This window comes from Homo sapiens, chromosome 14, assembly GCF_000001405.40.
Source record: "Homo sapiens chromosome 14, GRCh38.p14 Primary Assembly".
Taxonomy (NCBI): Eukaryota; Metazoa; Chordata; class Mammalia; order Primates; family Hominidae; genus Homo; species Homo sapiens.
In genome coordinates, this window is record NC_000014.9 from 22,062,117 (window position 1) to 22,077,263 (window position 15,147).

The 15,147-nt window shown below is 36.9% G+C and overlaps 1 gene segment (V, D, J or C) and 1 further gene, besides 4 other annotated features; both read left to right on the forward strand.

The window, feature by feature from the left end:
- TRA (T cell receptor alpha locus) overlaps positions 1–15,147 on the forward strand; it is a 930,229-nt gene that overhangs the window by 440,213 nt on the left and 474,869 nt on the right.
- Positions 8,574–8,625: a sequence feature (TRAV22 leader sequence).
- Positions 8,574–9,092, forward strand: TRAV22 (T cell receptor alpha variable 22). The segment is given in 2 exon segments: positions 8,574–8,625; positions 8,814–9,092. Coding segments are annotated over 2 exon segments (331 nt in total), but the record flags the coding sequence as incomplete, so codon positions are not given.
- Positions 8,814–8,821: a sequence feature (TRAV22 leader sequence).
- Positions 9,100–9,122: a recombination feature (spacer).
- Positions 9,123–9,131: a recombination feature (nonamer).

The window sequence follows — 15,147 nt, forward strand, 5'->3', positions numbered from 1 at the left end:
GTCTTGCATTCCCACCAGCAGTGTTTGAGTAATCTAATTTCTCCACATTTCTGCTAGCATTTTGTGTTGTCATTGGTTAATACTTCAGCAACTCTAAGAGGTATGGAGAAATCATTGTAGTTTTACTTTGCATATTTCTAATAGCCAGTGATGTTAAACATTTTTGGTTTTTCTTTCTTTTTTAAATTAACTAAAGCCCACACTTTATTCCTATTTCCTTTGTTTTTGCCAAATGTCCTTTTTATGTCTGCAGGGTCTGTAATAACACTCCCTGTTTCATTCCTAATATTAGTAATTTGCCTTTTTTTTCTTTGTTTTACTACAAGTTTGTCAGTTTTACCCATCTTTTTAAAAACGGCTGTTTAATTTTTGTTTCTGTTTTCAGTTCTATTGATTTCTGCTTTTATCTTGATTAATTCCTTCCTTAAATTTGCTTTGGATTAATTTTTTCCTTCTTTTTCTTGGTTCTTGAGGTGGGAACTTAGATTTTTGTTTGGATACTTTTTTCATTTTTAATATTTGCATTTAGGGATATACATTTTCTCTCAATGCTGCTTTGACTATGTCCTACAAATTTTGGCATGTTGTATTTTCATTTCCACTCGGTTCAGTGTATGATTGATTTCCCTTGAGCTTCTTTGATCCTTGGATTATTAGGATGTATGTTGTTTAATTTTCAAATATTTGGAGATTTTTCTGCTCTCTTTCTGATATTTACTTATAGTTGTATTCTATTGTGGTTATAAAACATAGTCTTTATTGTTTCAATTCTTTTACATTTAATTTTTTGAGGTTTGTCTTGTGGCCTAAGATATGGCATACTTGGTATACGTTCTACAGGCATTTGAAAAGATTGTTTATTCTGCCATTGGTAGGTGCCATGTTCTAGAAATGGCTATTAGATCCTGTTGGCTAGCAGAGTTGTTGAGTTCGTCTATGTCCTTGCTAATTTTCTGGCAAGCTCTTCTATTAGTTATTGAGAGTGGGGTGTTGAAGTTTCCAACTATAATTCTAGAATCATCGGTTTCTTCTTTCATTACTATGAGTTTTTCTTCCATGTATTTTTCAGCTCTTTTGGTTGGTGTATACACATTTAGCATTGCTATTCCTTCTTGAAAGACTGACCCTTTCAACAATATATAATGTTCCTTTCTGTCTCTTCTGTCTCTGGTACTTTGCTTTGCTCAGAAGTCTACTTTACCTGATATCGATATAATTATTTTGACTTTCCTTTGATTAATGTTTGCACGATATATATTTTACTTTCTTTCTTTCTTTCTTTTTTTTTTTTTTTTTTGAGACGGAGTCTTGCTCAGTCGCCCAGGCTGGAGTGCAGTGGCGCAATCTTGGCTCACTGCAGGCTCCGCCTCCCGGGTTCACGCCATTTTCCTGCCTCAGCCTCCCAAGTAGCTGGGACTACAGGCGTCCGCGACCACGCCCGGCTAATTTTTTGTATTTTTAGTAGAGACGGGGTTTCACCGTGTTAGCTAGGATGGTCTCAATCTCCTAACCTCATGATCCACCAGCCTTGGCCTCCCAAAGTGATGGGATTACAGGCGTGAGCCACCGCACCTGGCCTATATTTTACTTTCAACATGCCTATGTCATTAAGTTAGAAATGAGGTCTTCGTAGACAGCTGTAGTTGGATCATATTTCCACTCTTTTCACTTTCTCTGTATTTTAACTCTCTTTTCATTGCTGTTTGTAGACCAATCTCTGTATCTTAATTGGTATATGTACATCATTTGCATTTAATGTAATGTATATTTTAGTGATTAATCTTCCATTTAATTTTGTTTGTTCTGTTTTTTGTTTCCCTGTGTTTTATCTCCTAACTTCTTGTGAATTATTTGACATTTTCTAAAATTCCATTCAATTTACCTATAATGCCTTGGATGTGTATTTTTGTGTAGCTTTCTTCAGTGTTTGCTCTAATGGCTATTATAAATAGATAACACAGTTGTCTATTGGTGATGTCATTCCACCAATTTAAATGAAGTATAAAAACATTGTCTCCCTTTACATTCAGTTGTCCTCACCAATTCATGATACAGTTTTCTTTATGTTTTCCCCAATATATATTTAGAACCTCATCAGACAGTGTTATTATTTTTGCTTGATCCATCAACCATAACTGTGAATTAAAAAAATTGATCAAACATGTTTGGAGTAAAGACTTCATTATCTTATTTTCTCTATATAGGAAATATTACAAATTTATTGTCATATGAAGTCAATTAAGAAGTATGGAACCAAAAAATATAAAAACAAAAAATCTTAATTCTGGCAAGGACGTGGAGAAAAGGGAACTCTTGTACACTGTTAGTAGGAGTGTAAATTAGTATAACCACTATGGAGAACAGTATGGAGTTTCCTCAAAAAACTAAAACCTGAGCTACCATAAGATCCAGCAATTCCACTGCTGGGTATATATCCAGAAGAAAGGAAATCAGTATATTGAAGAGGTATCCGCACTCCTGTTTGTTGCAGCACTGTTTACAACAGCTAAGATTTGGAAGCAATCTAAGTGTCCATCAATACATGAATGAATAAATAAAATGTGGTACATATACACAATGGAGTATTATTCAGCCATAAAAAACAATGAGATCCTGTCATTTGCAAGAACATAGACAGAATTGGAGCTCATTATGTTAAGTGACATAAGCCAGGCACAGAAAGACAAACATTGCATGTTCTCATTTATTTGTGGGATCTGAAAATCAAAACAATTGAACTCATGGACATAGAGAGTAGAAGGATGGTTACCAGAGGCTGGGAAGAGTAGTGAGGGAATGAGGGGGGAGGTGGGGATGGTTAATGAGTACAAAAATATAGAAAGAATGAGTAAGACCTACTATTTGATAGCACAACAGGGTGACTATAGTCAAAAGTAATTTAATTGTGAATTTTGAAATAATGTACAGTTAAACTAAGAGTGTAATTGGATTGTTTGTAACACAAAGGACAAGTGCTTAAGGAGATGAATACCCCATTCTCCATGATGTGATTATTTCACATTGCATGCCTGTATCAAAACGACTCGTGTACCCCTAAAATATATACAACTACTATGTACCCACAAAAATTGAAAATTTAAAAATAAAGTATTATAGAAGTGTGTCAGATAAACAAGGAAATATGTAAATTTCTGAATTCTGTATTTATGGTATTCGTGTTTTAAAATTTATAGTTTGTTGTGATTTTCTGACCTAAAATTATTTTTGTACCCAGTTTTATTCTTATTTTTATGTTATTCTTTTTAAAATCCTCCATCTTGTAAGTTTCAGGCTTACAAACATAAATCCTCCTTTGTACATTATCATAAATCTTTGAAATTCAACACTAGAAGGGCAGGAAGGATGTGGAGGAAGTTCACAAAAATTGTGAATTTCTCTTAGCCCTCTATTTGGCCCCTGGAGGGTGTTGTTGCCTAAATTGGAAATGGCTTTTCTTTAAAAGATTAGAATAAGCTCCTTCCTTCTCTACAGGTTAAAGAGGTGTCCTTTCTGACTGAGCATTCTTTTAGACAGCGATGTATAAAGAATCTCAGACACCAGAGGCAGGCAAGTTTGTCAAGAGAGCATCTCTTACTAGCAGTTTCTACAAGATCCCTAAGAAGAAGAAATCTAAATCCCTGCCATTTCTCCTTAGTTTCAACCTGGATTCAAGTTACCCCGTGGTCAGATTGTGTCTGTGGGGAATCTCCTGGAAAGGTGCATGCTGCTCCCTCAGTGCTTGGCTAGATCTCATTGTGTGTCTTGACGCTTGGGGTACTCCTGTTCCCAAGTGGGTATCATTCCATTTTACTCTCTTGTCCACAAATGGAGCATTGTCTATTTGACTCTGAATACGGACTTTTTGTGTTAGCTGAGTTCACTGACATAGCATTGGCATTGTAGGAAAAACCACTGCCCATTCTGTGACTCAGCCTGACGTTCATGTCGCTGTCTCTGAAGGAGCCCCTCTGGAGCTGAGGTGTAACTATTATTGATCTTCTGTTCCAACATATATTTTCTGATATGTGCAATACCTCAGCCAAGGACTCCAGCTTCTCCTGAAGTACCTATCAGGATATAGGGTTCTTTCAGGAATTAACGGTTTTGAGGCTGAATTTAAGAAGAATGAAAACTGCTTCCTCCTGAGGAAACCCTCAGCCTATTGGAACGACACGCTGAGTACTTCTGTGCTGAGTCCCGCATTGCCCAGGACTGTAGTGGGGGCTACATAAAAACTACCTGAGACACATAGCTTAAACAACTAAGGATCTCAGCCTCAGTTATTTTCAGGAAGTTGACGTGTTCTGTGAAAGCAAACAGTACAAAGAAAGTAGAATCCTGTCTAGCATTTAGTTCCTATGGACATCTTAGATTTCTTTAATTTATTTTCTTATTTGCCATTTTGCAAAGGAAAGAGCTTGTACCTGATTCTAGAAGAAATTAGACTATAGGATTTGTAACAAGCAGGAGGAGGTGATTTGCACCAAGGTATTTCAGATAGTGATGGACTGGGATGACTTAAGGTTGGCCATGTGGATTGGTATAAGGCAAATCAATTTGCTTTTAGTTATTAATCTCATCTCTCAAACAATCAGAAACCCAGAATGAGTGTTTATTTCAAGCTGCATTATCTACAGATTATTTTACCCAGTATCCTGACTTCAGTGAGCTACAGTCCTTTGAGGAAAGAAGCCTCTTCAAAGGACTTCAGCTCACTGATGAAAGTATTTGAGACTGGGAGACTTAATTAAAGCTGACATTTAAGGATGTGTGCAAGGCAATCTTTCCAAAGACAATATAAAAGGGAAAAAAAAGGCTTTATTTTTTTAATCTGGTGGTCCCCAGCGAAAGGCAGTCTAAATTAAACACAACATCATGGCAGAGTTCCATGTGGAATCTTGGGGTTGGTTGTTCTATGGATGACCTACCCTTTATCAGTTCTACCCAGATTACCTCTCTCTGTTTTTCTCCCTTTCAATTCAATTTCCCTAATACTTGCTGAGTGTCCAATAACTATTGTTGATTCCTTAACCATATTTAATTATTTCTCTACACCATTCCTCATAGTGCCAATAGTAACTATTTGCAACGTTCTTGAGCAGTTAATCCAATGTTGTGCCTGCAGAACTTTTATTTCTACTTCAGTAAAAATATAGGTGTTCTTATTTTTCACCCCCTTTACCTCCAAATCCATTTCCAGATTATTATTATTTATGGAGTCTGGGGCAAAAGCAAAAACAAATTATTTTCATAACTTTTAAAAACAGCTAATTTTCTTTTAAACCATTAGAATAATCTAGTAAACCTAAAAAGCAAAATATAAATAATAATTAACAATGAATAGCTTTAATAAAATATATTTAAATAAAATTAGAATTTATTTGTTTTTAAGTTTAATTCGATCACAGTATTTAAAATAAATGCTAGTTTCAACATTCATCTAGTATATAAAGAAGCTAATCAGTGTCACTCTTTATGCAGATTCAATCTAGGATAAAATATATGCAATTTAAAACTAATGTTGTTGAATATTACAAAGTGTTCCAGCCATCATGAGCAACTATAGTGAATACTATGCTGATTCATGAGTACCCTGAAGAACCACAAATGAGTACATAAGAGATGCAAGAAAATAGATCCTCAGCACCCTCGGGAAACAGTATTTCTTTTTGTAAGAATCTATTGCCTCCGTGCTGAGAGGAAAGATGGGGCTAGCTAATTAATTTTTTCCTTCCCTTCCTTGAAACCCCTCCACCCTTGGCCCCAATTCCAAATCAGAGTCATATGAAGTCAATTAAGAAGTATGGAACCAAAAAATATAAAAACAAAAAGTGTTAATGCTGGCAAGGACATGGACAAAAGGGAACCCTTGTACACTGTTGGTAGGAGTGTAAATTAGTATAGCCACTATGAAGAACAGTATGGAGGTTCTTCCAAAACCTAAAACCTGAGCTACTATAAGATCATATTTACTTATTTTTCTACACCATTCCTCACAGTGCCAATAGTAACTATTTGGAACGTTCTTGAGCAGTTAATCCAATGTTGTGCCTGCAGAACTTTAATTTCTACTTCAGTGAAAATATAGGTGTTCTCATTTTTCATCCCCTTTACCTCCAAATCCATCTACAGATAATTATTATTATTGATGGAGTCTGGGGGAAAAGCATAAACAAATTATTTTCGTATAAACAGAGTCTGCCTCCTATGGCAGCAGTGGCACAACCCACAAATATTTCTAATATTTGAAAAGGACAAAGGTCAAGGTATGTGAAGAAGTATTTTTCTCAAATCTGAAAAATTGTGTTAGTGGTTTTTTAGGTTACAGATTGTGCCCGGTCCTGAGTGACAGAGACAGTCCGTGTTCTTCAGTACATTTGCGTGTGTGTGTGTGTCTGTGTGATTGAGTGGCCCTGTAAAATATGAGGCTCTGGGCAGGGCTCTTGCCTGAGTCTAAGGGTCATACTGTCCACAACCTTGCTCATCTTCTGTCCTTCTTGTATTTAAAACAAAGGGTCACTTTTCAAAGTTTGCCATCTTTGCTTTTGTTACTCTCCAGTCTCGTCACCTCCACAGAAGGCATGTAGCATCACATCCCCCATCAAGTCACATCCTGTAATAGAAGTTTGACATAATTGTTACTGTCTTGGTGCTCATGTGGTGTTTAAGGATGCTTTTTAAAAATGATATCCTGTAAACCTTTATTACATTCAGAGAGATGTTTGTCTCCTCACTATATCACAAGCTCTCTGAAGGAAAAACCGTATCCAATTCATTTTTTTTTTTAATTTCCAAGGTCTCAAACACTCTTAAATATATTGACTTAACTATAACTGAATCAAATTGGTGAGCTCATATTTTTTCAGTTCATACGTATGAATTAAATGGATGTTCTAATTACATAAAATTACATTTAAAGTATTTATCTTCATAAAAGCCACCGTGGGGTCTCATGGCCCTATTTATGGTACTCTCCATTCTGTGGACACTTCTGTTGTTTCATGTCAACCCACAGGTACAGCCCTAGGAAAAGACAGCTGGGCTGAGCTGTCCATATATGCTGAGGAAGATGTAGTCTTTCTCAAGGTTTAGCACGTCAGGAGGCATATAGGCTTCTCTTAAATTGAGGGACGGCTCTGAAGGATCTAGTAGTGAATAGTTGTTGAAAGATTTGAGAAATATATTGAGTATAAGGATGAGGGCCAGTAAGAGTAAAGAGGGAAGAATAATTATGTGCAAGGACAAACTAAATCATTATCAGCACATAAGAAACATATTTTTGCTGAGTATTCTTTTCAATTGTAGCTCTGTCCTCTAAAACAAGATAAATGACATATGAATATTCAAGTTCTAGGTTATATTTGAAATGCATATATATATACCTATATTTAAATTTTTGTCTTTATATTATTATCTTTATCTGTATCTATCAGAAAATCCTGGATCAAACAGAATCATATACAGCAAAAGGGAAAGTGGAGAATTCCAAAGAAGGGAATTCGGATTTTAAAAAATTTTTATTTCCTAAGATTTCCTAAGAAAAAAATATGAACTTTTATTTCACAGGTCCAAAATTATTTCTAAACTGTTGAAAGCCATCTTTTCTTTAGTATTCTTCTGTCCCTTTCATGTAACTAGAACCCCCTACCCTCAACCAAAAATAAATAAATAAATAGATAAATAAATAAGTAAATAAATAAAAGAGAGAGAGAGAAAAGGAAGAACATGGAAACAGAAGGTAATGATAGGAGAAAGTGGAAGGAAAAAAGGAAGACAGAAAAAAAAAGAAAAAAGATTTACTGGACTGTAAGATAAGCTATAAAGGAAGTTTGTATAAAATAAGAATTAGAAAAATAAAACATATTGCCCATCCAGGGTAATACGTAGAAAAAAATTTGAATTGATCTTATTTTTTCTCTCACAATTTACAGTCTTACTAGGGTCATTTCTTATAACAATATTTACCACAATTCTTGATTATTTCAGAGGAGTCCTAATCCACACTTTTCATATATTCTAATAATAAAAATTATTACATATATAATACATAACATGTATGTTCTTATTACTTTACATGACTGGAATGACTTTCACCTAAATTGGCTAATAAAGACCTTCTTGTCAGAACACATTCTTGTTTTGGGGGTTTAAAATGTGGACACTCATTCTGTGATCCTCTCCAGGCTCGAATTAGTATTACAGTTGAGGCACGTTGTCCTCCCGAGGAGGCCCCTCCCTTTCCTTCTCACAGGATCTTTCACATTCTTTACTATATCCAGAATTATTAGAAAACATCCCTCAGGTTACGGAATAATGACCTTTCTTTTTCCCTTCCACTCCACCCCTTTCCACCCCGGCTCTCAGCCAGGTTTAAGTCGGCGGGTGGGGCTTCCTGTCACAGAACGCTGTTTAAAAACTCAGTAGCATCTGGGCGTGAGCAGGCTTTGTCGGGTGGAGCTGATTGGTTGCAGGAGCAGCAACAGTTCCAGAGCCAAGTCATGACACCGACCTCCCCAAGGTTTAGTTAAATATATCTTATGGTGAAAATGCCCGGAGCAAGAAGGCAAAGCATCATGAAGAGGATATTGGGAGCTCTGCTGGGGCTCTTGAGTGCCCAGGTTTGCTGTGAGTTGGGGCTGTCCAAGGTGGGAATCTGAAAGGATTTAGCAGCTGCAGCCTTGTTGAGGGGAGGAAGGGCAAGGAGTTAAAAAGTCATGCAGTCTTTCTATTCACACAACCTGTGGGGGCATTTTCAGGATTCTTCAGATGTTAAACTGCCCATCACCTATGACTTTTTCTCCATTTCTGACCAGGTGTGAGAGGAATACAAGTGGAGCAGAGTCCTCCAGACCTGATTCTCCAGGAGGGAGCCAATTCCACGCTGCGGTGCAATTTTTCTGACTCTGTGAACAATTTGCAGTGGTTTCATCAAAACCCTTGGGGACAGCTCATCAACCTGTTTTACATTCCCTCAGGGACAAAACAGAATGGAAGATTAAGCGCCACGACTGTCGCTACGGAACGCTACAGCTTATTGTACATTTCCTCTTCCCAGACCACAGACTCAGGCGTTTATTTCTGTGCTGTGGAGCCACAGTGCTCCCCAGGCACCTGCGGCCTGTACACAAACCCTCATCCGGGCTCGGTTCCTCTACCAGTAACAACCACATCACGAGGCCACCGCAGCAGCATTTTGCACAGCTTAATATTCCTTTTGTACATAGGTAGAGTTTTAACCGTAGATTCTTTTTGGCTCTACAGGTTTGAGACTTTGGTCTTTATTTTCCCTTTTCAATACACACCTCCTCCTACCCTATAAATATCTAACTTGGAAGGAGTAGAGTAGCTGATAAGAGGACAGAATCAAAATAAATATTTAAGTGACAGTATGCAGGACTCCAAAAGGGTAAAAAGTAAAAAGAATAAAAAGAAAAGAAACACCATTCCAATAAGCATGTTGTTAGACATTAGTTAGACAGTGATCCAGCTTAGTTGTGTGTCTCAAGCACATTCAGGTCTACCTCACCACATTATGTACCAACAGACAAGGGCAAATATTTGCATACTATCCCACTAGTGCAGCAAAGTAAAATTTCTTTAAATATTCACATATTGATAAATAGCTGTGGAGAAAAAACTTTAAAATGTTATGTTCCCATATGTGTTTTTCAGGCTTGTTGTATAACCTAGAATATGATCTATCCTGGAAAATATAACCATGCATGATTGAGAAGAATGTGTAATCTGATCTTGGGTAGATAGATGTCTGTTAGGTCTACCTGGCTTTTGTGTTGTTCAAGTCTTCTATTTCCTTGTTGGTATTCTATTTGTCCTATCTATTATTGAAAGTGAGGTATTGAGTCTTCACCTGTTATTCTTGAATTTTCTGTTTTTCCCTTCAATTCTGTCAGTTTTTGTGCATCATGTATTTTGGGATATGTCATTAGGTGCATATATGTTTATAACTGATATATTCTTAATGGATGCCCTTTTATCATTATAAAATTTCCCTTTTTATCTCTAGTAACATTTTTTGGTTTAAAGTATACTTTGTCTAATAATAATGTAGTGACTCCAGTCATATCTTTTCCTATCCTTTTACTTTCAACTTATTTGTATCTTTGTATCTAAAGTGTGTCTCTGACAGTGTATAGTTGTGTGTGTGTGTGTGTGTGTGTGTGTGTGTAGCCATTCTGATAATCTCTACTTTTTGATTGGATTGTTTAATCCATTAACATTTAATGTTATCATTGATATAGATTATATCTGGCATTTTAATTTTATTTTCTTTCTGTCTTATGTCTTTTTTGTTCCTCTGTACCTCCTTAACTGCTTTCCTTTGCATTAGGTGAATATTTTATAGTATAATATTTTCATTCCTTTATTTTTTTCACTATGCTTTTTCAATTATTTTCTTGGTGGATGTTTTAGTACTTACAATATATATACATCTAAACTTGTCAGAATTCACTTCAGACTTTATGCTAACTTAACTCCAATGGGATTTTCAGATGTCACTTCTATATAGGTCTATTTCTTATTCCCTTTATTATTGTTATTCACATTATATGTATATATGTTACAAACAATAGGTTATTATAATTTTTATATAATTTTATAATTATTTCTTTATATAATCTTATGTTTTATAAGCTGAGAAGGAAAAAAGGAAAGCAAATATATATTGAAGTGTTTGTTGTTAACCTTCTTACTTATCATTTCTGGGTCTCTTCATTTGTTCCTGTGCACTTAATCATAGCCAAAAGGTCAAGAAGTGATCATTTGTTCCTGTGGATTCAAGTTGCCATCTGGTGTCACTGTCTTACTCCAATATAGTTTTGCAATCTGCCTTCCTCCTTTATTCTTTTATTATCAAATATGTTACATTCCTGTAAGTCCAATAATATAATTATATATGTATTGTTTTATACAGTAGTTATTTAAATCAGTTAATAGTAGAAAGGGGATAAATATGCAGTCACACTATCTTTTTAGTAAGTGTGTGGATGCAAATTACTGTTTGAAGTCCCTTGCTCCCAGCCTGAAGATCTTCCTTTATTATTGCTTGAAGGTGAGTCTGCTTGCAATAAATTCTCTCAGTTTGTATTTATCTAGGAATGTCTTTATTTTACCTTCATGTCTGAAAGATACTTTTGCTGAATATAGGATCTTCATTGATGGTATATTTCTTTCAGCACTTTGAATATATCTTCCCACTGCCTTCTAGCTCTGTTGTTTTTGTTGAGAAGTCAGCTGTTAATTTTATTGAGTTTCTCTCATAAATATTTGATTTTCTCTTTCTACTTTGAAGATTCTATTTGTCTTTTAACATTTTTGCTATGATGTGTCTGAGTGTGGATCTCTTTGCATTCATTTTACTTAGAGTTCACTGAGCTTCTTAGATGAGTAGATTAATGCTTTTTTGAATCTGGGAATTCTCAGCCATTGTTTCTTCAAATTTTTTTGTTCCTTTTTCTTCCTTTCCTTTTTCTGGTACTCTCACTATGCGTATATTGGTGTGCTTAATGATGTACCACGTTTCTCTGAGTCCCTGTTTATTTTTCTTTATTCTTTTTTCTGTCTGTTTTTCAGATTGCATAATCTCTGTAGATGTATCTTTAAGTTCACTGATTCCTTGTTCAGGGAGCCCGAACCTACTGTTTGACCCTCCAGTCAATTTTTTTATTTGGTTATTGCACTTTCCCAACTCTAGAATTTCTATTTTGTTCCTTTCATAAAAAAATAATTTTTACCACTTTATAGATATTCTCTGGCTGATAAGAAGTCATCATCATATCTTTTTTACTTCCCTCAGCATGGTTTTATTTCTTTGAGCATACTTAAAACAGCTATTTTGAAATTTTTGTCTGTGAAATCCAACATCTAAGTCATAGAAAAGGAAGTTGCCATTACCCAATTTATTTCTCTTGTGTAAGAATCACACTTTCCTGTTTGGGGTATATCTTATAATTTTTTGTTTTAAACTAGACATTTTAGATAACATATTATATTAGTTTTCTATGGCTGCTCTTATGGGTTGAATTGTGTTTCTCAAAATTCAAGATGAAATCCTAACTCCCAGTACCTCAGAATGTGACCTTATTTGAAAATAGGGTCATTGCAGATGTAATTAGTTAAGATAAAGTCATAAGAATGGACCCTAATTGTGATGGTTAATGTTAGGTGTTATGTTGATTGGACTGAAGGATGCCTGGATAACTGGTAGAGCATTGTTTCTGGGTGTGTCTGTGATGGTGTTGCCAGAGGAGATTGACATTTCAGTCAGTGAACTGGGAGAGGAAGACCCACACTCTTTGTGGGTGGGCACCATCCAATAGGCTGCGCAGCTACAACAAAGCAGGTGAAAGAAGGTGGGAGGCTTCTGGCTGCCTACTTTCTCCCATACTGGAGGCTTCCTTCTGCTTCTCTTGTCCTTGCGTTCCTGGACCAAACTGAGGTTTGGGCTGCTATTTTTTTACAGACAAATAACGAGATGCAGATGAACTGGGGAGGAAGAGAGTTTTTATTTCTGTAGTCAGTTACAGGGACATGGCCCGGAAATTATTGCCAGACTAACTCAAAATTACAAAGTTTTTTCAGAGTTTTATATACCTTCTAAGTTATATGTCTACATGTAAGTGTGCATTCATTTAAAGACATAAATGATTAACTTCTTTTAATTTATAACTAAGGTCTGAGTCCTGAAGACCTTCTTCTAGAGTCTCAGTAAGTTTATTTAACCTAAATGGGTTTAGGTGCTGGGGTGATTAGCCTTATCTGGTCTTCTGCCAAATCACAGAGGTTTGGGGAGTTCCTTCAGACCTCCAATAAATGTGTTTGTGGAGGCCTAGCGAGTTTCTTCAGACCCCCTATAAAACTTGTTTAATCCTAAAGAGGCCCTGTTAAGAATTACTCCTTTATTTTGTCATGCTTAAAAGCCCAGGAAAGTCCCAGGCAAAACTCTTGGTGGGCTTTTGCTACATTCCAGCCTTTGTATAAGGGCACTGGCTTTTAATATTTATCTTAACCACTCAGTCAGTACCGAAACAGTTGTTATGGAGTCCTGCCACACTTGGACATCAGACTCCAGGTTCTTTGGCCTGTGGACTCTGGGACTTGCACCAGTGGCTTGCAGGTGGCTCTCATGCCCTTGGCCGTAGACAGAATGCTTCACTGCTGGCTTCTTTGGTTTGAGGCTTTCGAGCTTGGACTGAACCACTACCAGCTTCTCTTTTCCCCAGCTTGCAGATGGCCTATCATGGGACTTGGCCTTGTAACTGTGTGAGCCAATTCTCCATAATAAATAAATAAATAAATAAAGTTTATTAGGGAGAATTGGCACACACAATTACAAGGCCAGGTTTTATATATATATATGTGTGTGTGTGTGTGTGTGTGTGTGTGTGTATGTACATACATGTATACACACACATACACACACACACACACATACACATATATCCTATTAGTTCTGGAGAACCCTGACCAATACACTAATCTAATATGACTGGTGTCCTCATAAAAAGTGAAAGTTTGGAAACACACACACACAGAGGGAGAATACCATTTAAAGATGAAGGCAGAGATCAGGGTGGTACTCCAACAAGCCAAAGAATGCTAAAGATTGCCAGAAAACCACGAGAAGCTGGGCAAGAGGAATGGAGTAGATTCTCGTAGCCCTCACAGGGAGTCTCTCAGACTTCCATTCTCCAGAAATGTGAAACAGTAAGTTCCTATTGTTTAAGTCACCTAGCTTGTGGTACTTTGTTATAGCTCTAGCAAACTAATAAAGCTGCTATAACAAATTACTGCAAATTTGGTAGCTTAAAACCAAACAAATTTATTCTGTTACAGTTCTGGAAGCAAGAATCTGAAACCAGTTTTACAGGGCTACAGTCAAAGTGTTGGCAGGGCTGATTTCTTCTGGAGGCTCTCAGGGAGAATCTGCTTCCTGGCCTTTTCCAGCTTCTGCTGTCCACCTGAATTCATGGCTCATGCTCTTTTTTGAATCACTCTAAACTTTTGCTTCCATCATCACATCTCCTTTCTCTTCTGGAGCCACATCTTCCCCTGTTTCCCTCTTATAAGAGCACTTGTGATTATATTTAGGGTCCACTCAAATAATCCAAAATATTTTTCCCATCTCAAGATCCTTAATAATGTATTCAAAGACATTTTTGCCATATAAGGTACCATTTGCAGGTACCAGGCATTAGGGCTTGGTTATCTTTGGGGATGATAATCCAGGCTATCACATATAGTGACTCTGGATATTGTGTCTCTACCCCATCCAGGGCTTGTTGTTATTTGCTTGTTTATTTATTGTAACAACTTTACTTGACTATTTCAGTTAAGTCCATTTTCCTGCAGGGTGCAGCCTATGATGTTATTCCTCAGAGGACAGTCTTTGGTATGTGCACAGACATCTTGATATGACGGTGGTTTCAGCAGTGTTTTCTTTAACTGTCTTTCTTCCTGATTTTTCTGTTAAACTACCTGCATCTGTTTGTATCACACTTAGCCATGAGCCTCCACACTTATCCATAGTCTGGTTCAATTAAATTCAGGCCCCTTTGCAGAGGTAATCTTTGAGGTCAATCTTTGAAGCTTCTTATAACCTCAGGAGGACTCTTCCCAGCTGTCTTTATTCCCGGTTCTCTCTATTAGATTTTTAGCTAGTCATCTGTGGTTTAGTTTGTTGCTCTCGTGGAGCTACCAGCCTCCTCTTAATTGCTTACCACAAAAATCTTCATTCATTTCCACTGTACCCTTAAGGCTTGGACTTCCTGAAGCTCTGTTCCAAATAGAGTCTTCCTAGTGGAGAGCTCTCTGTTCTTATAACTCCTCCTCTCCCTGGGCACAACTTCTGTGCCCCTGCTCTGGAGCAATGTGAGAAGAGACATTGCTTTTCTTTCCTCAGAGTGATAACCCTACTTTAGGAGCAAGGTGCTTGATGGGGGCAGTATCCCATGGTCTTCTTGTTTGCCTCCCCCGGTATGAAACCTCCACCTTATGAGCAAGCTGGGGTGAGGGAAATAAGGACCCAGTATTCTTGGTCTGCCATGCCAGGGTAGAGCTTCTGCCCTAACAGTAGGTGCTAGGAAGTGAAAAGGAGCCCTAGGCCTTTCAGCTTCCCTGGCCCAGAAT